The following is a 23,237-nucleotide window of genomic DNA, read 5'->3' as shown; positions in this document are numbered from 1 at the left end:
CTTCCCAGCTGGGGGCAAAATCCCATTCTTAGTAACAAAGCTATTTTCATCTGCTGATCGAGAGCCAATAGTAAGAGCAAATAGTTACACAGGAAATGCCACACTGATGCCTTCCTGCCTGGCGTCAGGGATCCAAATCTAGTGCTACCTAAACTGCCAGTTCAAAAAGCAGCTGCATTTTAACCACCTGCCTGTACATTCTGAGTATTCTAGAGCATTCAAAGGTATTGCCTATAAAGCTTTTTGTGGAATTAAAAAAAAAAATTGTGGTAAGAACATATAACATGAAATCTACCCTCTCAACAAACCCAAACAAGTTGACCCTCCTATCACAGAGCCGGCACAAAGTACATCAGGTCTGTTTTTCCCCACACTGGGCAAGCTCTGTCATGCCCAGGCAGCCTGGGAAAGTGCTCAATATTGAAAACTGAAGTTCTATGGCCAGATACTGCCAGTAAGATCTATCCATGAGATCTGATTCATGGAAAGGGCCCATGGAGCCAACACTGGATATAAGTGTAGAACTTTTTTATGAAAAGCGCAAACCTAAAAATTGAACAGAATTTCCGTTCACTTCCACCCTCTTGATCTATTCCCACTGGTCTCTCTCAGCCATTACTTGGCAAGTCTAGGCCAGTCTTCTTTGAGAGCAGATTCTCAGAAAGGGACCTACTCATAAAAGTAGGTTGTGCATCTTAAATAGATACAATTTTATTTGTCAGTTGAAAAGATGAAAAAGAAGAAGCCACAAAATACTTGGAGGAAATATAAATTATTAGACATGTAACGTGTTGATGAAACATTTTTAACATAATGCTATGTTGCCATAAATGAGAAGTTTTTAACTACTGATTAAAAAAAGTATATTAAGATTGTCATAAACAAAGTCAAAAAGCAAATAGAAAAAAATTGCAAGTATGACATATATACTAATGACATGTTATAGGTTATATAATATGAAGAGCCTTTACAAAACAGTAAGAAAACAATAAATGTTCCCAACAGAAAAACAAACTGCTAAAAAAGCAATTCAAAACCAAAAATCTAAATTATCTACATACAGCACATATGTGAAAAAAGTTTCACTTAATTTTCAACGAATAAACACTAAAATAAGGAAATGTCCTTTTTTTTCACAAATGGGCAAAAATATGTATGAAACTGGGCTGTGCTTCTGGGAAAAAATTTTTTTCATACATTCCCCATCCCCAAAAGGTACATAAGTGACCAGTGATAACATTTAATAGGTCACTTTCTTGGAAGGTGCTTGTAGAAGTTTTGTTTCACTGACGACACAAAAAGTAAGCCAAATTTAAAAAAAGAGAAAAGCAAAAGCAAAAGCATTGGAGAGAGAGATTGTTTATGTAATCTAGTAATCTGCAGTAACTACTTGCCAACTTCCCTCACACCTTCATTGCTCCAAGTCCTCATTCCAAAAGCATGGGGAGTCAGGCAACTCAGTGAGCTACACCACCAGGCATTACCAATGGTATAAAACTCAGAATAATTCCAAGAAAGATTCAGACATTTGGAAGAAAAAAAGGTGTGGGTGTGGTATGCAGGACGCTTTCTAATTATCTTTATGGCATAAGAAAGCTTCTTTTCAAATACTAAATTATGAGAAAGGATGGATAAGCTCCAGCCTACCCAACTTCTAAATGAGAATTTTTAAAATCATGAATTCAGAGCTGGATTGGATAGAAGAGAGGACTTCAGAGATCATTTAGGACAAACTCTTCATATTACAGATGAGAATACAGGTCCCTTAGAGATTAAGTGACTTGGTCAAGGTCACATACCTCATAATATTTAATCTATAATGTTAAAAATGGATTCTATCCTGCCAGTTGTTTTAGGCAAGTGGTGAATTACCCAATTACTTTAAAACTGCACCATGTATACAGTAGTCCTAGCCATATGTGGCCACTGGGCACTTAAAATGTGGCGAATCTCAATTGAGATGTGTTATCAAACATACACCAGTGCAAAGTACACACCGGATTTCAAAAATTTCACATGAATAAAAGAATGTAAGACATCTCATTAATTTCTATACTGAATACAGGCTGAAATGATAATAGTTTTGATATACTGGAGTAAATAAAATATATTATTCAAACAAATTTCACCTGTTTCTTTTTACTCTGTTAATGCGGCTATCAAAAAATGTGAAGTAACATCTGTGGTTGATACCATATTTTTATTGGAGAGGGCTGCTCTAAAACATTATGATGTTGTTTTTAAAAATTTAACGGAAATCTACCATTTCACTGTTTTAGAAAGGATATTAGTCATTTTTCAAAAAAATTAAAAAAAAAACCTCACCACACTCTTAACTGTGGTAATCATGTAAATGTAATGTTTTAGTTTTAGGAAGGAATGTATACACATGTCTATAAACTGTAAAGGCAGGAATTTTGAATAGCAAAATTGCTCTTTTTGACCATTAAATTATTCTTGCTTCCATTTTTCTGGTTGACCACAGCATCTCTAAAACCTTATGGCATGATCAGCTTGCTCACTGTTTTTAGGGAAAATCAGGCAACCAAGGAGAGGCCATCTACATTTTCCAATCTGTCATTTTCCATTCAGTGTGGCTGCAAAAGCAACCATATAAAAAACAGTGGCATTTGGACTTAAAAGGCAGAAAGTAATCATTATCAAAAAATTCATTTTTTAAAAATAAGCCAAAAATGAACGTCCAAAATAGGAACTGCCTTTGGTAAGATAAATCTTACATTCCCCCCCATTCCCCAAAGAACTCAGCATAGATGTGAGCAATAAATAACACGTGCAGTACACCCCACCATCTTTCAACCATTTGCCAGTCAGGATTGAGGCTGAGGAAGCAGAAAAGATTAAGCAGAAATCAAAGAGAGCCAAGCTCTAATGGTGTCTAATTAGCATAACAAAAGGCACTGCCACAATCTTTCAGCAGTGGGCAATACATCTCATTAAAGAAGACTGAATAACAATTATTCTCTCCTGACCCCCCCTGCCCCACCCCCATACTTCTTGGCTTAGCTCCGGGAGACCCTGAGAGCCCGGCTCCAAGAGCTTCTGCATTATTGGCCAGGCATTCAGGCTGCAGGGGAAAGAGCCCACTTGTATTACTGTGCACCTGCATCTCAATGCTTTATTCTGATTTCCTCTCCTGCTGTGAAAATGTAGCTTCCTCAAGCACATACAAGTCCTGATATGCAGTTTATAGGAATATAATATTGAGAAATGTCAATGATGACCTAAAAAATGAATACTACTTCTTCTAAAACGTCTTTCTTGAAAGAAAATTGATCTAGTATTTATTTCTCTTCACCTATTCTATTTCTCCCTTAGTATTACTTCACTGTCTCAGACTTAATGAAGCCAAATTGAAATTCTAACAAATTTTATTGCAACCAGTAATTTGCTATGTGCACACACAGGCACGCACACACACATAGATACGTAGACACATCATGCCATTTAAGTGGGAGTACTTTGGTTCAGACCTATCCTCGCTCCCTATTTCCCCTTGATGTAGACAAGTGAGAAAATAGATGAATTTCAAAGAAAATCGAGATTGTAGGTGAGCATGTAGGTAGTTTTTGTATACATTTAAACCAAGAATAAAAGATTCTACTTAAATCAATAATTTAAAAATTCTTCCAGGGTGATTACTAACAAAGATAAAAGCTTTAAGCAATCCTATGTACTTTTTCATATCAATCTACTTAGGTGGAAGGATTGAATGGGAAGGTGAGAGAAAGGACACAGTTATTTAGTCCAAACAATTTTCAATTCTGAGCTATATTTTTTGATCAGTAACACCTTTCAAAAGAAATTTAGTATGAGGGCTGCTTTTTTTTTTTTTAATGGCCTCTCCTGCCAAACACAATAGTACATCGTCTACTTAAACCTGAACATTGCCATGTCTGCAAGTTGTTCTAGGAAAAGCTGTTTATCACAGATGTAGATAGGAACCACTGCAACAGTTCCTGAGACTAAATAGCAGAAACAAAGCCAACTCAAGGAGTAGCTGGGAAAACCTATATAGTATGTCTGGATTTTCAAACTGCTACAAAATTACTGCATTGTAGGAACTAAGAGACCTTGAGAATATTCAAATCTTAGGCTGGGTACTGTGGCTCACCCTGTAATCCTAGCACTTTGGGAGGTTGAGGTGGGTAGATCACTTGAGCCCAGGAGTTTGAGACCAGCCTGGGCAACATGGTGAAACCCCATCTCTACAGAAAAAAAAAAAAAAAAAAAAAATTAGCTGCACGTGGTAGTGCACACCTGTAGTCCTAGCTATAGCTACTCCAGAGGCTGAGGTGGGAGGATTGCTTGTGCCCAGGAGGTCAAGGCACCAGTGAGCTATGAATGTGCCACTGTACTCCAGCCTGGGAACAGAGTGAGACCCTGTCTCAAATAAATAAATTAATTAATTAAATAAAAGCATTGGCTGGAGGCCTAAGGTGAGATATTTTAATGCTATGATACTTTGCACATGATAGTATACAGTTAAAATAAACCTTAGAAGATCACTTGAATTCTAAAAGGCCTTTCTCTGTGTGGTGAACTACTCAGCATGTAAGAGCTGGTTTCTGCGTGGTGGCTCACGCCTGTAATCCCAGCACTTTGGGCAGGCCGAGGTGGGTTGATCACTTGAGGCCAGGAGTTAGAGACCAGCCTGGCCAACATGGTGAAACCCCATGTCTACTAAAAATACAAAAATTAGCCGGGCATGGTGGTGGGTGTCTACAATCCCAGCTACTCAGGAGGCTGAGGCAGGAGAATCGCTTGAACCTGGGAGGTAGAGATTGCAGTAAGCCGAGGTCGTGCCATTGCACTCCAGCCTGGGACACAGAGCGAGACTCCACCTCAAAAAAAAAAAAAAAAGGTCAAAGAAATGTATTTCGGGGTAAAATATTTTCATTTTTTTAGGGCCTGTTATCTGTCATGTGATGCTATACCAGAATCAGGTTGGAATCTGGTATCTTATTGTTACAAAAAGTCTGTTTTGTCAGTCTTAAGTTCTCTGTTTTAATGTTACTGCTGGTCAGTTGTACCTGAATTCCAAACAGAGGAGAGCATAATGAGGCATGTCCAACCTACCCCTCCAACCCCCAGTCCCTGCTTCCTCTCATGGCCTAAAGTATCAGTTTTTCAGGTTAACTTTGAATGCCCCCGGCCAAGAGGAGGGGTGCATTCAGTTGGTTGGGGGGCTTAGAATTTTATTTCTGGTTTACAACAGTAATGATGTGGCTTGGGTCTTGAGTTGTCTTCAGATTAATAACCTGGCTTTTGGGAGTCAGTGGCAGAAGTAATAATATGGAGGAGGTCCAACAGCAGGTGCAGGACAAGTTAGATTATTGTTGGTAACATAACCCGCAGCACTTCTACTATCTCCAGGATGGTCTATATTTAACTAAATTCCAACTTCACACACATCTTCCATTTATTATAAGAAGACAGCTCTGTGAGCTGAAACACATTCATAACTTCAACATTACTACTGGACGTCTTTATTCAAGTAGTCATGAGGGAATTTTAATTTCAAGTAGAAAACTGTCTTGGAGCTCTAATTGCTGCTTCAGAGAGGAGTAACTTTTAGAAAGCAACACTGTACGGATATGTGACTAGTTACTTAGAGTCTAGATTATTGTTAAATATGCTAAAAAAGCAAAAAGGTGCCGGAGGAATTAGGATCCTGGGCTTGAGCACAGGTCAGCACTCCTGGTGGGCGTACTGCCAGCCCTCTGGAGGAACCCTGTCTGAAAAGCAGAGGGACCTCTTTGCTCCCTTTTCGAAGCCATGGCTCAAAAGGGTTGCAGAAATGTAAGACTAAACATATTTAATGGGAAGAGAGCAGGAAAATTCTCCAATATTGATAAATCTGCAATTCATTTTTTTCAGTAGCTATTGGAAAGACGAATTATGCTGGAAAAAAAAAAAAAACCTAGAGCAGCTTACTGTCATTTCTAAAACATGATCCTATGCCTGCTTGAAAGAGTTAAGGCTGTATAAATATTTATCATTCTTCTTTCAAAAGGATAAGAAAAATTCCCTTTGCATACATGAATTTTAGATTGCAAGGCAAACATGAAGAGATGGTCAGGGGCCCATCATCTTAATGAGGATATGGTAATGATAATGATTTTTTTAAGCTTGCTTATATGTGATCAAAACCTAGAGATTTTGATTTTATACTAAGGCATGCACAGAGCCAAGAATAGTTAATGCTTTTAGGAGCATATGGATGGGATGACAGGAATACCATCAAGGGCTTACAGTGGGACCAGGGTGAAAGATTCATTAAAAGTGATAAATAGGATATGCCTTTCTTAATGTTTTTCAATTGCATATTCAATACAGCAGGACAGTGACTATGCATTTTAACTGTTCTTTATTTTTAAGAGAGCTGCCAGATTTTAATCACAGATTAAACAGTTATTTGCAAATGAGTACCCCTTCATTAACATACCAGAATCATAATAATAAACAATTCTGTTACTAAACAGTACACAGGACAGCGTGAAGTTTAAGAACCATACACACATATAGCACTACAGCAGGGTAAAATACTCCTTTTAATTTCAGCAAACTAGTTACCTTAAATTTTAAGGGAAATAACCTAGAAGAATGCTCACAAGATTCTAAATTCCACGAGTAGAGATTTTGTTCATTTGTAACTTTATCCCTAGCACCTAAATGCCTGACTCACAATAGGTTCTCAATAAATGTAAATGAATGAAGCAGCTCTTTTAATAAATAGTGATATTCTTACAGTTATACTGTCAAGCACTGAAACCTTTTGAAAAATTGCTAAACTGAAATAAATCAATGGCATTTTTCTCAAAAATTTAATTCTATAATTTATTCTGAAGGCCTTAGAATAGCTGTATTTTTTGTTATCATCTTCATAACAAAGAGCAGCTATAATAATCTTATTTCATCTAGTTTCTTATTTTTCACTTTCACATAGACTTTTGTGGTTGCCAACTTACAGAAGCACAGAGAATTTAAGTACCTTGGTTCAGGATACTGTGTAAGTTAGATATAGGTCTTAGGTGCCAAACTTCCTAGTGCACTGTTTTCTGCAGTAAACAATGCTGGACCATCTCTTTGCTACTTATTACGTGTCTTGAAGAAAACATAAAACAAGTTCTTTAAGAGAAAATAAGAGGTACTGTAATGACCATTAATAACAGGTAGTCTATCAGTACAGTAAAGCAGAAAGAAATGGCAAATGAAAGAGAAATTTTCATTATTACCATTCACTTACCAGTAGAGAAGGAAGAGAAATAATTAAAATATTTTCTCAAAATGGCCATATAAAAGTTCTCTGCTTTGTAGTAGGTTACAACATATAAAATACAGACCTGTTAATATCAAAATACTGACTAAGAAAACTATCTTTAACATCAACATGTAAAATTTGTGATTAGATCTCTGCCTTAGTCTGTTTTGTGCTGCTATAACAGAATACCTGAGACTGGATAATTTATAAAGAAAATGTATTTATTTTCTCATGGTTCTAAAGGCCAGGAAGTCAAAGATCAAGGTGCCAGTGCCTCGTGAGGGCCTTCTTGCTGCATCATCCAATGGCAGAAGGTAGAAGGGCAAAGAGAAGGCAATAGAGGGAGGACAGCAAGAGTGGGTTGAACTTGTCTTTTTATAAGAAACCACTCCCATGATAACAACATTAATTCACTCATGGGGGCCCTCATGGCCTAATAACCTCTTGAAGGTCCCAACACCCAATATAACCACATTGGGAATCAAATTTTGGTATGGTCTAAATGTCTCCTCCAAAACTCATGCTGAAATTTAAGTGCCATTGTAAGAGTGTTGAGATGTAGAATCTTTAAGTGGTGATTCGGTCATAAGCTTAGGCTCCACCCTGTGAAGGATTAAAGTTGCTATCTCCGGAGTTGGTTAGCTATCTCGACAGTGGGTTTTTATAAAGGTGAGTGTGGCTTTCTCAGCTCTCTCTTACTCCTACCCTCTTGCACATGCATGCATTCTTTCTGTCTGTGTCTGTCTCTGTCTCCTGTGCTCTTCACCACATGATCTCTCTGCCAGCAGTAAGGGCCTGGTCAGATGCTGCTGCCAGGCTCTTGGACTTCACGGCCTCTAGAACTGTGAGAAATAAATTTATTTTCTTTATAAATTACCCAGTCTGTGGTATTCTGTTATAGCAGCAGAAAAAAAAGACTAAGACAAGTTTCTAACACATAAGCTTTAGAGATACATTCAAACTAATGCAGAGATTTGGGGAAAATGAAACTCAGATATAAACAGTTCTTTTCTTACCAGATCACAAACAGAAGATAAAAACTACAAAAGGTCTTTGAAAAGATGTAATTGCTGTTTCTTTTTTAGCAGACATACAAGATGAATAAAAATTAATGGAGCAAAATTAGTAGCCTTAAGGGTGACTCATACATAGTAAAAAAAAAATGTATCTGGAAAAAAGTTTTTAAATTCAAAATGTTAATTCAATTTCCTTACTAGCTATTTCTGATTGATTCAGGTGGTGTCCCTCTGAGGCTTTCTAGAAATCAGTGTAAGATCAGATAATTACCATTGGGACCAGACAGCTAACTTCTGCTTGCTTCTAAAAACACTAGCAGCTGTAAATAGCTGACTTAAAACAAGCCTGCTGGTGTATTCCAGTTGACGTATTATTTGGTATCACAAGGACTGGCAAGTGTGGTATGAAACTTAAAGGTCAAAAAAAAAAAAAAAGAAACTTAAAGGTCTCAGAGTCACTGTTTTAAATGAAGGTGGTAGTGGGTAGGAAGGATTCATAAGAAAGTTCAAGCATCAGATGGAGAAAATTTGATTCTTCAACTAACCACCATGATGACTATGAACACAAGCATTACCATACCACTACTTTTGTTCTGGTGATGAAATGGTTTACCTTATTTTGTCACCAAACACCCTACAGGGTGAGTAGACATTATTCTCATTCAACAGATCAGGAAACCAATGCCCTTTGGGTTGAGGTGGTCTTACCCAGAATCACATAGTTTATAATGGTGAAGCTGGTGATTTTTCTTTTTTTTTGAGACAGGGTCTCGCTTTGTAACCCAGGCTGGAGTGCAGTGGCATGATTTCAGCATACTGCAGCCTCGACTTCCCGGGCTTGAGCAATCCTCTCACCTCAGCCTCACAAGTACCTGGGACTACAGGCACATGCTACCACGCCCAGCTAATTTTTGTATTGTTTTGTAGAGACAGTATTTTGCCATATGGCCCAGGCTGGTCCTGAACTCCTGGACTCAGGCAGCCTACCAAAGTGCTGAGATCACAAGTGTGAGCCACCAGGACCAGCCTCTTTTTTTGTTTTGCTTAACATTTTAAAATTCAAAGTGATAGTATTCCATTACTTGAAGTATATGTGGAAAAAGACTACTGCAGCAAACAAAAATGCTGTTTTAGGAAGGTAATAACAGCTTAAAATATTCAATCCTCAAAACTTTATTTCTGATTTTTGTACAAATATATAATGAATAAACAAGTCTTTCCAAATTCTTTAGCTTGAGAGAAAGCTACTAGGCAAAAATATGAAACAAATTTAATGCTAATTATTAAAATACACCCTCCCAATAGCATTTCCTAGAAAATACAGGGAAATAAATGCCCCTTGAGGAACTACTTGCCCCTGTATAGGTGTCCTCATGATTAGCATGTGGCTTTGTTGAGTATTAGTCTTGAGGTTAAATAAGGCCCTAGACTGATAAATGAAGGAAACATCTGCGAACAAGTAAACCCTGTAATGATAATGAGTTGTTGATTTGGGGTAATTTGTTTTATATGCCTATTTCAGGTAGTGTTTCTACTAAGGTCTCATTCTCTCCCACCTCCACCCCACACTCTCTGCTCTCTTTGAAAACCTGGGACTTTCTTTGCAAAGTTATTGTGGCCCTCCCTCACCCTGAAAAGAGGTGACAGCATAAAAGCAGTGCCAGGAGTGGGAAAATCTCTGCCCATGCAATGAGCACGTCACTTGCTGTGTCCTAGGTGAAAAGATAACAGGGATAATGGAAAATAAGAGTTTCTCAACTTCTCAAACTAACCTCACTGTCCATCAAATTTTAGAGTTGAGATTTTGTTTTTCAGTTAAAAATTAAGAAAAATTGTGGCAGGCTGTAATTATTTCCTAAGCTGTGTAGTCTGCTGTGAGCTATCAGAGTGCTGTAGAAAGACCATGAAACCTGCAGAGGTTGGAGTTCGGCTTCAAGCCCTCCTGTGCTTAGGTAAGTCCTCTTGGATCCTCACTTAGAACCAAGTATAACCAGTTCATTTAACAAATGAGAGCAGGTGCTATCCCTTAGGAAACTGAAAATTGCTATACGAATGTAGGTTGCTGGGATGTTGATATCACCATTATAACTAGAAAGGTCCATGTGGTACAAGAGACTAAGTTATAATTTGGAAACTTTTGTGGGGGGATCATTTTCAATCAAATTAACCTGTTCTGCAATGACTTTTAACAAGATCACCTTTCACCATGTGATCCTCTCTTTTTTCCAAGTAAGGTCTTATATGCAAGATAAAATTAACACTAAAAATAAATGTTAAGAAAAATGATGCTCCCACATTTTAAATAAACATGGCTTCCTCTTCACTATTTGAGTTCAGAATTACACAGGGCACATCATATTAACAGCACACTCATAATTCATATTTTCTCCAATATCATTAGAATTACAATATAAATGGTAATGGATTTACAAAGAAAATACAGGTACTGGCTTTGTACAGGAATTTTATGTTATAAAAGATCCTTAAATATGTAACCCCCATCATATAGTTTAGAATGATGATCAGAAATGTTAATTTCTTGACTATTTCCTTTTCTCTATCATCTTACTCTTTCCCCATGATAAGGCTTTTTCCTTGGATACTATATGATTGCCCCTTAAATCTCCATCTCTCATCTTCTCCTGTGCCTTATGCTTGCAACATTGGCTGGAATTAGCCTTTAATAATAATATTTCATGACATATTTCATTACATAGTTGATAGACTAAAGAAAGTATCAGTGGGTGATAGGTTGGGTTCAAGTGAGATTCTAACTTTTGTTTGGACAAGCTGTTTAGTTTTGACAATTATAAAATGGGAAAAGCTTAAAGAACCATATATAAAATTATTAACTAAAATACTACAGAATGCATTTTAACATTTTACTTCTCATTTTGTTTGTTCAACATTCTGATTTGGTTGCTAGGCTAAGAGAACATTTTTATCAAAAACATACTATTTACACCACGTGTCTGCTCTCATTATCTTTTTGGAAAATTGTCAAATATATTCGTAAATAATGATTCTTCAATTTCCTTATAAAACCAATGTTTGGATAGATCCATTAGCCATTTTGGAGATAATATATCTCTTTGCTACTGAAAAAAAAAAAAAAGATCAGAGGAAAACTTTAAATAATACCCAACCAGGTTGAAGACATATCATACTCTTTAAATCAAGCTTTTGTTTTATAAATCAAGTGTTCTGGTTTTGTTTAAAACACCTACTTTCTTAATGTATTCATTTTTAGTAGTTAATGAAAGGACAGTGGGAAAAAAACTCATAAACTGAGGCTTCTAAACAGAATTAGGCAGTTAAATCAAATCTCTGAAAAATTCATAATCATTACAATGCAGAGGTAGTTCTTAATGTATTTGATAACAGATACATTCTCTAACAAAATTAAGTGTGTATGTGTAAGGGCGGATGGGGAGTAGGAATTTATCAAAACAATAATTATCATGATATCTAAGAAATATAAAAATGGAAATGAGCCAATGTATTAAAGTGGAGGAAAAAAATCTCTCAAGTGAAAAACAAGAGACCTAACTTTAAAAACAATGCAATATTTGATCAATTTTCATTCTACTCAAGTCTATTTAAATTAACTGAGAATACCCAAAAGCCTCAAAAAGCATATTGCAGTATGATTCCAATTTGAGAAGGAGAGGCCTTGCTTATGTAAATAATTCAAATGAATAGCAGAGTTGTGGATTTTTAAAATCATAATTCTTATCTAACAGTTAGGGGGCTGTGAGGATTGCTTTTTAAAAACCAACATCTGGCCAGGCGCAGTGGCTCACGCCTGTAATCCCAGCACTTTGGGAGGCTGAGGCGGGTGGATCATGAGGTCATGAATTCAACACCAGCCTGGCCAAGATGGTGAAACCCCATCTCTACTAAAACTACAAAAAAAAATTAGCTGGGCACTGTGGCAGGCGCCTGTAATCCCAGCTACTCAGGAGGCTGAGGCAAGAGAATCACTTGAAGCCGGGTGGCGGAGGATGCGCTGAGCCAAGATCGTGCCACTGCACTCCAGCCTGGGTGACAGAGTCAGACTCCGTCTCAAAAAAAAAAAAAAAACAAAAAAAAAAAAACCAACATCCAGCCCATGAAGACATTCTCAGACTACGGGTACAGGAAGACCCTTTGCCTAAGCTGCCTTGTGCTTTATAAGATTTCACATTCTAGCACACGTGTACTATCCTTCATGTGCAGGCGGCTTGCTACGCAAATAAATTCCAAGCAATATTTTGGTCTCCTTTAGACTATAATTTACCAAAGAAACCAAGCAGATCTAAAATTTCACCATTGAAGAGATGAGCTGCATATTTAGCAGACTCACTTGTCTTGCCTGTGCATTGTTTGAAATGCCAGTCTGTTCACTTCTTTGTGAGTCACTGTTTGGCCTTGCAACAGTAACACCAAATTAATCAGCATTAAACACGCATAAACAATCTATGATTTTAAATTCATTAATGTATAGAAAAATGTTTTCTTTTAGAACTGTACTTACATGCATACAAAAATAAGAATCAAGGGTTAAACCTTTAATGTTCCTCTTATCACATAGTCTTAAATGAATTAACATCTGTTCCACCTAAGGATGTACAACAGGAAAAGAAATCTCCATTCCATTTTATCACTTAACAAATAACTATAGTAAGCAATTTACAAATATTAGCCAGTTCAATACTCAAAACACCCCATGCAGTAGAGATCTCTTCATGAGGAGCCTGAGACCCAGAGGCATTAAGTCTCTTGCCCACAGTCCCACAGCTGGTAGGTGACGGGCACAGCCCATGTTCAAACCCTGGAGTCTGGCTCCAAAGGCCAAGCTCTAAACTACCATGCTATGCTACCTCTTCAATTTTACAGACAAGTGACAGTTATAAAGTAATGTTACAAATGCTTAATTAATCTTGAGGAGCAGATTACTACCATGAAGCCTGCTGTGAAGTTAAAATGGTCCCTTCTTTATTAGAAGACCTTTGCTAAATCAATATGAAATATTCACAACTTTAGGAGATAAAAGTCAAACAACACCTTTCAAGTCACCAAGGGATCAAACAGACTATGCAGCTAAGATGGTAACTTTAACATTCACTTATTTATTAGTAATTTTAAACCTGTCTGGTTTTTAAAAATGGAGAAATCAGTGTACAATAAATGACACACATAACCATGTAGCCTTTGAAAATAAAAATAAAAGGCTAAATCTGTGGAAGAAAAAGTAGAAGCTAATTATAATCTAAACCTAAGTATAGGTCACTACATTGAGTGCTAAATTTGTCTCTGAGCTTCCTGAGAGTCAAGGCAAAAAGAGAGGGATGGTCACCTAGATGAGCTTTGTTGTTTCAACAAAGAGGGGTGAGCAGCTTTATTTGGAAAGCAAATTTAACAAAATGAATAGACTTGTAATTCTAACCAATTTAGTAAATAGATTTTATAGTCAGAAAACCTATTTTATCATCCTTGTCTAGGTAAGTGATTTGTAAGCCAAAGCTGCCCAAAATAACGTCAAAATAAAATACCACAATGTATTGCCATACCTAAGTATCTTTTGGCTGTGTAAATGCAGTTTCAGCTCTGCCATATCTTGGAGTCACCATTAATGCCCAATTGGATAAATGGCCTCCTAATGGGATTCTTGACTCTATTTTATGTCTCTCTGATCCATTTCCCATAATCCATAATCCATCCAGAGAGATATTTTAAAAACTCAAGTCTGGTCATGTCGTGCCTCCACTTAAAACCCTACAATGGTTCCCCATTGCTCTCAGGAGAAAGCCCAGCGCCTTATGTTGCCACATAAAGCCCTACTTTATTTTTCAGATGAGTGCACAGGAGGCCATATAATGAAGATGCCATAATTTATTTAACCACTTTCCTATTAATAGACATTTGGCTTGTTTCCAATTTTAAGCTATTACCAACAATAACGCATATCTCTTTGGATACGGGGTGAGCATTTTTCTAGAAGTGGAATTACTAGGTTGAAGGAAGAATAGTTATACTTTTGATTTTCATATATATATATATATAGTTAAATTGCCCTCCAAAATGGCCTTATCAATGTGTTTTTTTATTCTTGGCATCATTTAGCACTGTGACCACAGCCTCTCTCCACATAGTTTATGAGGGTTTTCTTACCTACACCCAACAATACTGTATATAACATTTTTTAATTGTTGACATAAAAGGGGAACAAATATTTTTTTGTAGTTTTTGTTTTCTTAATTGCTATTGAGAGGGAATTCTTTTCATGTGTTTATTGAATCTCTTTGTCCATTTTTCTGTTGAGTTATAATAACTGAATTACAATTATTGAGACTATTTTTCCTCATTTAAACTTTGTTTACCCTCATTCATTATGTGTAAGTTTTTTACTACTTTGTACTAAAATGTATCAAAAACCCTGTTGAACTTTTGACTAAGATTATACCGACTCTATTGAATAACATAGGGACAGTTGATACTATCATCATCATGTTACACTGTCCTATACAAGAATACATTATCTGTTATAGTCTTCAGAAAAATATCCCTTTTCATCATAAAGGTCTTACAACATTTATTTTTTGTTAGATTTATTTCCAGGTGTATTTGCTTAGTTCCTTTAGCGAATGAGATCTTTTTCTATTGTGTTTATTTAATTTGTCCCTTTCTGTTAATTTTTTCTTTCTTTCTTTTTTTAATTGAGACAGGATCTCTCTTTTTTTCTGTCACTCACACTGGGGTGCAGAGGTGTGTGTGATCACAGTTCACTGCTGCCTCAAATTCCTGCACTGAAGCAATTCTCCTGCCTCAGCCTTCCGTAGCTGGAACTACAGTTGAGTGCCACCACACCTTGCTAATTTTTAAATCTTTTTCACAGAGATGGGGTCTCACTATGTTGCCCAGGCTGGTCTTGAACTCCTGTCCTCAAGGATTACTCTTGCCTCAGCCTCCCAAAGTGTTGGGATGACAGGCATGAGTCACTGCGTCTGACCTTAATTTTATTTTTGATGGTATCTTGTAGTTAGCTCAAACTCAATGGTCTTATTAGTTTTTCAGTTGATTTTCCTGCAGTTCCTGTAATTGCTTGTGTATTCATCTGCATTCTCTGGTAGACCAAAATTTCCATGAGAAAGGAAACTTTCAGTTATAGCCCCACTACCTAGCACAGGTCCTCGAGCACAGTAGGTAATCAGTAAGTAGTTTTTGACCTAAACAAAATAGAAAATGTGGACCCTCAAGCTTCTCTTCTCATCAATGAGTGTCAATGCATGTTCATTTCTCCCTATAATGGTCAAACTTCTTGAACAAATGAACCTAGGATTCTACTATCCAAAACTTAATGATTAACTTATAAAAATAGCACATATGAAAATTTAAAACACTTTCCTAAATAAGCACTGAATTAAAGTCCAAACAAGTCGATTGAAAAATAGAAAAGATCAGACCATTACGCATGGAAGAATTAAAAAACAAACAAACACCACATTCAACTTTAGCATTTAGAAAAAGAGGAACAACTCCAACAACATCCACACCCTAAGAAATGAAGAAGTAATATAAAATATTACAAAAATATAAAATATAAAAATAGGCACAATTACTCATCCAAGAGTATTTTTGGGTGTGTGGGGGGGATGCAGGAGGAAAGAAGGGTGTTGTGGGGAGGTGAAGGAGGAAAAACCTCACAAAAACAAAATGAAATTTACAAAAAATTAATACTGAAGCAGACAAAACACTGGCAAAGCCAATCAAGAAAAAAAAAAAAAAGATAAAAGACAAAATGAGGAATGAAAAGGAAGTGCTAAGAACCAGGAGAATATTACATACAACTCTATGCTAATAAATATGAAAAAGAATATTCTAATGAAATGCGTAGTCATTGGAGAAAATAATTATAAAAATTGATTCAAAAATTTTTAACAAAGGAAACCAATGTACACACAAGCAACTGAAAATGTCATTAAATAATTTCCTGCTAAAAAACTCTAGAGAAGAAAGCTTTAATTTTTATTTTTAATTTTTTTAGAGACAGGGTCTTGCTCTGTCACCAGGCTGGATTGCAGTGGTATGATCCTAGCTCACTGCAGCCTCAAATCCTGGGCTGAAGCGATCCTCCCCCCTCAGCCTTCTGAGTAGCTGGGACTATAGGGGCATGCTACCATGCCTGGCTAATTTTAAAATCTTTTTTGTAGAGAAGAAGTCTCGCTATGTTGCTTTGCCCAAGCTGTTCTTGAACTCCTGGGCTCGAGCGATCTGCCCGCCTCTGCCTCCCAAAGTGTTGGGATTACAGGCGTGAACCACCTCGCCCAGCCAAGAAAGCTTTCAAACTTTCAAGAAACACAATCCCCATGCTACAGAAAGAGATCCAGAGCATGGGAAAAAATACAGAAAATGATCCCACTAGATTTTAGGAAGGCAGCATGACTATGACTGGAAAACCCTGACCACGGGGCGTGGAAGAGGAATAATAAAACAGGGGATCCTTTCCCTTGGGGTACGAACATCATGAAGACAGGAGGCTCTGGAGAGTGAGTCCCAGCTTGACCATTTCATAGTGATACCACTTTGACCAAGTGACTTTCCTCTGTGATACCCCCGATTGTGAGGGTTCAAGGAAATAACCCCCATATAAAGCACTTAGTATCAGGTGAGCAACAAAATATTGACTGGCTTTAGGGGGAGGACTGTCCATGTTCCCTTAAAATATGTGAAAATCTGCATATGTATCAGTATGTTCATTTTTTGGAGAGGAAGGTTCACGGTTTCCATGAGATTCTCGAATGAGTCACAGACCACAAAATGTTCAGATCCATTGCTACACATGAATCTTACTTCTGAACATCGATGCAAAATAAAAATCTGGATGAAATATAAGCAAAATAAATACAAAGGCACATTATACAAATCCTTCACCAATAACAAAAAAGGGTTAATCATTGGAACTGAAGGCCCTGGGGTGGGAGTGTGGACAGCTTTTCTAAAAAGCAATTTGGCAGTTTCTACCAAAACCCCTTTAACCTAATAGTACCTGTATCCTTTAACCTATTAATTGTGCTTCTAAGAATACATCTATAGTATGAGGTATTTATTATGGAGTAATTTATACTAATAAAATATTGGAGACAACCTGAATGCTCAACAATAGTGGAATAGTTAATAAAGTGATGTATCCATTCAATGGCATAGTATTATGTAGCCATTACAGAAAAGGTTTCTGAGAACTTCAGTGACACAAAACAGTGCTCACAGTATGATTTTTAGAAGTAACTGGCTGGGCAGGGTGGCTCAGCCTGTAATCCCAGCACTTTGGGAGGCCAAGGTGGGCGGATCACGAGGTCAGGAGATCGAGACCAGCCTGGCTAACATGGTGAACCCCATCTCTACTAAAAAAATACAAAAATTAGCCAGGTGTGGTGGTGGGCGCCTGTAATCCCAGCTACTCGGGAGGCTGAGGCAGGAGAATCCTTTGAACCTGGGAGGCAGAGGTTGCAGTGAGCTGAGATCGTACCACTGCACTTCAGCCTGGGCATCACAGCAAGACTCTGTCTCAAAAAAAAGAAGTAACTTGTATGCAATATAATGATAGCATTGTAAAATAAAATAAATACCCAAGGTCTAAAGGAAGCAAATACTCCAAACTGATCATAATGGTGAAACCTGTGTGCTGGACCATAGTGATTAATTATTTTTTTATTGTTTCTTCTCTTTACTTTTCAGATTTTCTATATATTTTTTAAACAATCAAATCAAAGCCATTTAAAAATATCTTACTAATAAAAGTGGGTAATCAGGTGATCAGAGCTACTGTTCCCTGCGTGGTGATGGTGACAATATTACTTCAACTTTTCATTTAGTATTAAGATAATTTAAAAATACTGCTGATTAATGACAGGGCTGTAAACAGATTATCATTTATAAGTCTTCTAAATAGCCTAACAGTACCAACTAAAAGCAGTGGAATCTGTCTGGGGAGGTTAGGGTACTTACTGTCTTCCTCGGCCTCTGTAAATTACACAAAGCTTTCCCTACCTTCAACATGAAAATATCAGTAAAACATATTCATTGCATCAGAAACATTTTAGAAATAGTGTCATGACTTTTTTTTAATGCCAAACTTAATAAGAAAGAAAATATTTAAAAACCGGTAAGTACGGTCGGGCGTGGTGGCTCACGCCTGTAATCCCAGCACTTTGGGAGGCTGAGGCGGGTCGATCATGAGGTCAGGAATTCAAGACCAGCCTGGCCAAGATAGTGAAACCCTGTCTCTACTAAAAATACAAAGATTAGCTGGGCACAGTAGCAGGCACCTGTAATCCCAGCTACTCGGGCGGCTAAGGCAGGAGAATCACTTGAACCTAGGGGCTGGAGGTTGCAGTGAGCCAAGATCACTGCACTCCAGCCTGTGTGACAGAGTGAGACTCCATCTCAAAACAAACCAACAAACCAACCAACCAACCAACCTCATAAGTAGACACTGTATTTAAAATAAGAAAACTAATAAAACTACTTATGTTATTTTTCTTCCTAACCCATGTATTACAGGAGGTGATTCATCCCACCAGTGCTTCTTCTGCAGACAGTAAAATATGGTCCCAGTGACCATCTCAGGTGCCATGCTTCCAGCATTTTATCAGACAAGGCTGAAGACAGCAGACATTAAACTTCAGTTGTGTGCTCCACAGAACATTAGCTGTCTTCATCATTACTTTGCATCTTTCAGTGATAGGTATGAATTTGTCTACTGATACGGTTTGGCTGTGTCCCCAGCCAAATCTCATTTTGAATTGTAGCTCCCATAATTCCCATATGTTGTGGGAGGGACCCAGTGGGAGGTAACTGAATCATGGGGTGGGGGGGGTCTTTCCCGTACTGTTCTGGTGAGAGAGAATAAGTCTCATGAGATCTGACCGCTTTACAAAAGGGAGTTCTTCTGCAAACCCTCTCTTGCCTGCTACCATGCAAGATGTGACTTTGCTCCTTCTTGCCTTCCACCATGATTATGAGGCCTCCCCAGCCATGTGGAATTGTAAGTCGATTAAGCCTCTTTCCTTTATAAATTACCCGGTCCTGGGTATGTCTTTATTAGCAGCATGAGAACAGACTAATATACCACATTCATCAGAAATTTGATGACTTTTCTTCTGAGACAGAGTCTCGCTCTGTCACCCAAGGCTGGGGTGTAGTGGTGCGATCTCAGCTCATTGCAACCTCTCCCTCCCGGGTTCAAGTGATTCCCCTGCCTCAGCCTCCCAAGTAGCTGGGATTACAGGTATGCACCACCAAGCCTGGCTAATTTTTGTATGTTTTGGTAGAGACAGGGTTTCGCCATGTTGGCCAGGCTGGTCCTGAACTCCTGGCTTCAAGTGATCTGCCTGCCTCAGCCTCCCAAAGTGCTGGGATTATAAGCATAAGCCACTGTGTCAGCCAGAGATCTGATGACTTTTCTATCACTTTTTCATCTTGTCAGAAAACAGATGAACCCACCAAGGGTTATGCTAGTCGGATTAACATCACTTTTTAAATCACACAGGTTTTTGGTGGGGACACAGATGCATGGCATTGTAATATCTGCTCGTGTGTATTTATCACCATGGGGCAGACTTTGTAAAATATTCCAGTTGTATTTTTTTTAATGCCCAACTTGTAGACCATTTTAGTTTGCTTCTGCCCGTATTTCTTTCATCTGGATAAAAATAATCCTATGTAGGTTCCCACTTTCTCCACATAAATAATCTCTTCTTTGCCCCTCACATGAATTTCTCACAAGTCTTGACTAATCTGGAACTTTGTCTTGCAGCCCAGGAGGTGTATCTACCTTAAATTAGCTCCTGTCTTGGGCAGAAAACAATACACTTACATATTTATGTTTTGGCGAAGAAGGATATTTATAAAGAAGAGGAGAGGAGAAAAGGGTATATGAGGGAGAGAGAGAAACAGAGATAGATGCGAATTAAAAGCAAGACAAAAATACAGAAAAATATCAAAGCTCTGTTGATCAAGGCTCTGTTGGTTACTAAATACATTACCTAAAAGAAAACTGGTAAAAGCCTGCTATTTATGTGGGTATGGGTATGACAGTACATTACAAATTGTATTTATAGCTCTTTGAAACTACACTGATTTTTAGAACATTCCTTTAGCCCTTAGAAACAGATGGTATGCTTTTTATTTTGAAATTACCCTTCCACTTTTCCCAATTGTGGTGTATTACTTTCTGATTTGTAAGACAATAGCTTTGAGTCCAAGGAAATGTGCAATTATATAAAAAAGAAATTTTTCTCATGTGTAGCTATGTCAGTTAAGTATTAAAGGGTCTTCCCACTAGTGAATAAAAATTAATCTCTCTGTAGCTTCCATATGTTACCTGTACAGCATCTGCTCAAATGAGTTGTCTTTCTAGGCTGCTTGACATGTTAGGAACCTGAAAATGATCCCATCTTGACTGAATCTCAAATGCCCTTCCTGAGCAGCACTGATGAAACAGATGGAGCACCTGGATGTTATCTGCTTTGGATCTGGTTCTCAGGAGGAGGAGGAGCAGAAGGCTGGGCACAACGGTGTTTGAGGTTCTCAACTGCCCCCAGAAAGAAGGGTTGACTTGATTTACATTGACTTCAACTTGATTATCTTGATCTACTTAACTGCATTTTCGGCTTTTATGCTCAAGCCACCGGTCAGCATGCTTCCTATGGTCAACTGCAGTCTTTGACTACATGCAGGATATCTCAAATGCAGCTTGGAACATAACTTAACCATTCCTCAGGTTTACTGCCAAACGATAATGCTTTGCCAGTTCTGCAAAGCTGTTTATAATTTAGTATACTTTCTTGGGTGTGCACGTCTACTTATCAGCTTGCAATAGTTTCAAGGGCTTCTGAAGACATCTGCGGAATGAGATGACAGAGGGCCTTAGAAGCTCCGACATAGATTATAACATCAGCTGGCAGTGCCTTGTGTCTCCTTGAGTAAGGCTTATGAAGCCATGAATTTAATTTATTAAATAAAATGGAATCTCCTGATTTATTTCACTGGTGAAGAATGTCTTAGACAAGGTACTGTCACATGGCCATCCATTAATAATACAGTTAAGATTTTGGTCACTTAATCAGTTTACAAGCTTTGCAGTAGCCATCTGAGAGTGGGCATTCTTAAGGTGTCAAAGGAAGGTCAAAGAATAGAATACTGAGAATCTTGGACTTGCCATCAATTTGATGTGAACGAGAGTGTGTATTCTTGACCACAGTAGGTCCTAAAAGAATAATTCTGGTGACATGGGCTAAATGATTTAAAGTTAAGTGGCTATTGTTGGATAGGGTTTTCATATCTATTATAAACTAATTGCCATCTTTGGTTCCAGGCTAATTAAGTGTTTTCTAATATTTATAAAACAGTCCTGCCATAGTTCATATGAATCAGTCATGGTTACTTTTGGTGGCACAGTAATTAGAAATGATTAAGTCAGCTGGTTGTCAGCTTTGACAGTACCTTTGGCAGAAATATTTTAGAAAAGCAACTCTAAACTTAAAATCTAATGGCATTACTACTCAAACTCTTTCTCACGGGCTCAAAAACACCATTGAAACTAAGCGCACATTTGTTAGAACTACAGGATATGCCATAAACTAACCGTAGCCCATAATAGATGTACAAACAGGCAAGCCACAGTGCCTGTTTTGCTTTTCTGATATCACATTGCTTTCACCTACATTATCTCATTTGTTCCTCATGACAACTATTTGAAGTATCATTATCTCTAGGACACAGATAAGGAAACTGAGGCTCCCAGAGGTTAAGTGACATACTCAAGGTCACCCAGCTGGTATATGGTGGAACCAGATGTCAGTCTGGGTGTTCTGTCTTCAAGGGTTGTTTTCTTTTCACTTTCACACCTGCCCTCTTAAGAGACCGGCACTGATGTAGATATGAATAGGAGCATCACATGAGACAGACAGTCAGAGTGGGGTACAATGAGGTTAGCAACTTCTGCATCACAGTTACTTGATTATCTCTCTGCTTTTTTTTAAATCCCAAATTTAAAAATCCAAATACTTTTTAGCAGGTAAAACATTTTCCTTTTCAATCAAAATGTTCTACTATGCTCTCTTTGATTAGTCTATTGAAAGCTAAACCTTTGTCCACTGAAGTTTTTTTAATAGTGAAATTTCAGATGAGGAGATTGGATTGGTTGATGGCTAGCATGTCAAAGGACCTGGCCTATCAAGAAGTTATTAAAGCAATTAGCCTTTAACGAAGCTGCTGCAGGAGAAGCTGTAGCATCTTTTCCACTGGCACTCCTGCAGGTCTATGCCATTTCGTGCCTGGCATGTTATGTATGATCTACTTCATGCTATCCTCAAACTCACCCTACCTTTCCCTCTTCCAGCCTTAAAACTGGTAGGGGAATTTTCTTTACAAAGTCCAAATCTAATCACCTGAAACATTTTAACGGTCCCTCATTACCTACAGAATAAAGTCTGCTTTCACAATTCCCACCTCTCTGCACTCTTTCACGTCATACCTCATTTTCTGGTAATAGTGAAAAACTACATGAAGTTATCTGAACATGGCAGGCTCTCTCACACATCTGTATCCCTACGACTACCCCCTTTTTCTTCCCAATTTAATTATCAGGTCAACTCCTAACAATATGAATGCTAATTCTGTACTGGCTCTGTTCTGAGTACTTCATATATGTAACATGTGTAATGCTCACAGCAACTCTATGAGGTAAGCACTATTATTATTCCCTATCTGATGATTCGGGAACTACAGCATAGAATGGTTAGTTACTTTCCGAAGGTCACACAGGTAGTCAGTGGAAGAGCCAGGATGTGAATCCAGGCAGTCTACTTCCAGAATCACCTCCTAATCACAGAACTAGGCTTTAAGTTCAAGTGTTGCTTCCTCTGGGAAACTTCCCCTGAGTTGACTCCTGCCCA

The 23,237-nt window shown here is 37.8% G+C and overlaps 1 protein-coding gene across 14 annotated transcripts in view, besides 4 other annotated features; it reads right to left on the bottom strand.

Annotated features, from left to right (window-relative positions):
• Positions 1-23,237, bottom strand: part of CDKAL1 (CDKAL1 threonylcarbamoyladenosine tRNA methylthiotransferase) — a 697,948-nt gene that overhangs the window by 43,327 nt on the left and 631,384 nt on the right. The gene's annotated exons all lie outside the window — the stretch shown is intronic.
• Positions 2,542-3,268: an enhancer, noted in NCBI's record as "OCT4-NANOG hESC enhancer chr6:21186041-21186767 (GRCh37/hg19 assembly coordinates)". NCBI's record gives its function as "activates a minimal SCP1, AML or CMV promoter by ChIP-STARR-seq in naive and primed H9 embryonic stem cells {active_cell/tissue: H9 hESC(naive and primed)}" and the evidence as "EXISTENCE:reporter gene assay evidence [ECO:0000049][PMID:30033119]".
• Positions 6,871-6,930: an enhancer, noted in NCBI's record as "active region_24135". NCBI's record gives its function as "activates an Ori minimal core promoter by ATAC-STARR-seq in GM12878 lymphoblastoid cells {active_cell/tissue: GM12878}" and the evidence as "EXISTENCE:reporter gene assay evidence [ECO:0000049][PMID:35858748]".
• Positions 22,532-22,676: an enhancer, noted in NCBI's record as "145 bp 6:21166705 sequence used in MPRA reporter constructs". NCBI's record gives its function as "activates a minimal TATA-containing promoter with rs2125570 allelic activity by MPRAs in UACC903 melanoma cells {active_cell/tissue: UACC903}" and the evidence as "EXISTENCE:reporter gene assay evidence [ECO:0000049][PMID:36423637]".
• Position 22,604: a transcriptional cis regulatory region, noted in NCBI's record as "rs2125570 or 6:21166705 MPRA-significant variant associated with a GWAS melanoma risk locus at 6p22.3". NCBI's record gives its function as "allelic transcriptional activity by MPRAs in UACC903 melanoma cells {active_cell/tissue: UACC903}" and the evidence as "EXISTENCE:reporter gene assay evidence [ECO:0000049][PMID:36423637]".

This window comes from Homo sapiens, chromosome 6, assembly GCF_000001405.40.
Source record: "Homo sapiens chromosome 6, GRCh38.p14 Primary Assembly".
Classification (NCBI taxonomy): Eukaryota; Metazoa; Chordata; class Mammalia; order Primates; family Hominidae; genus Homo; species Homo sapiens.
The sequence above is the reverse complement of the archived record's forward strand: the minus strand, read 5'-3'. Positions and strand labels throughout refer to the sequence as shown.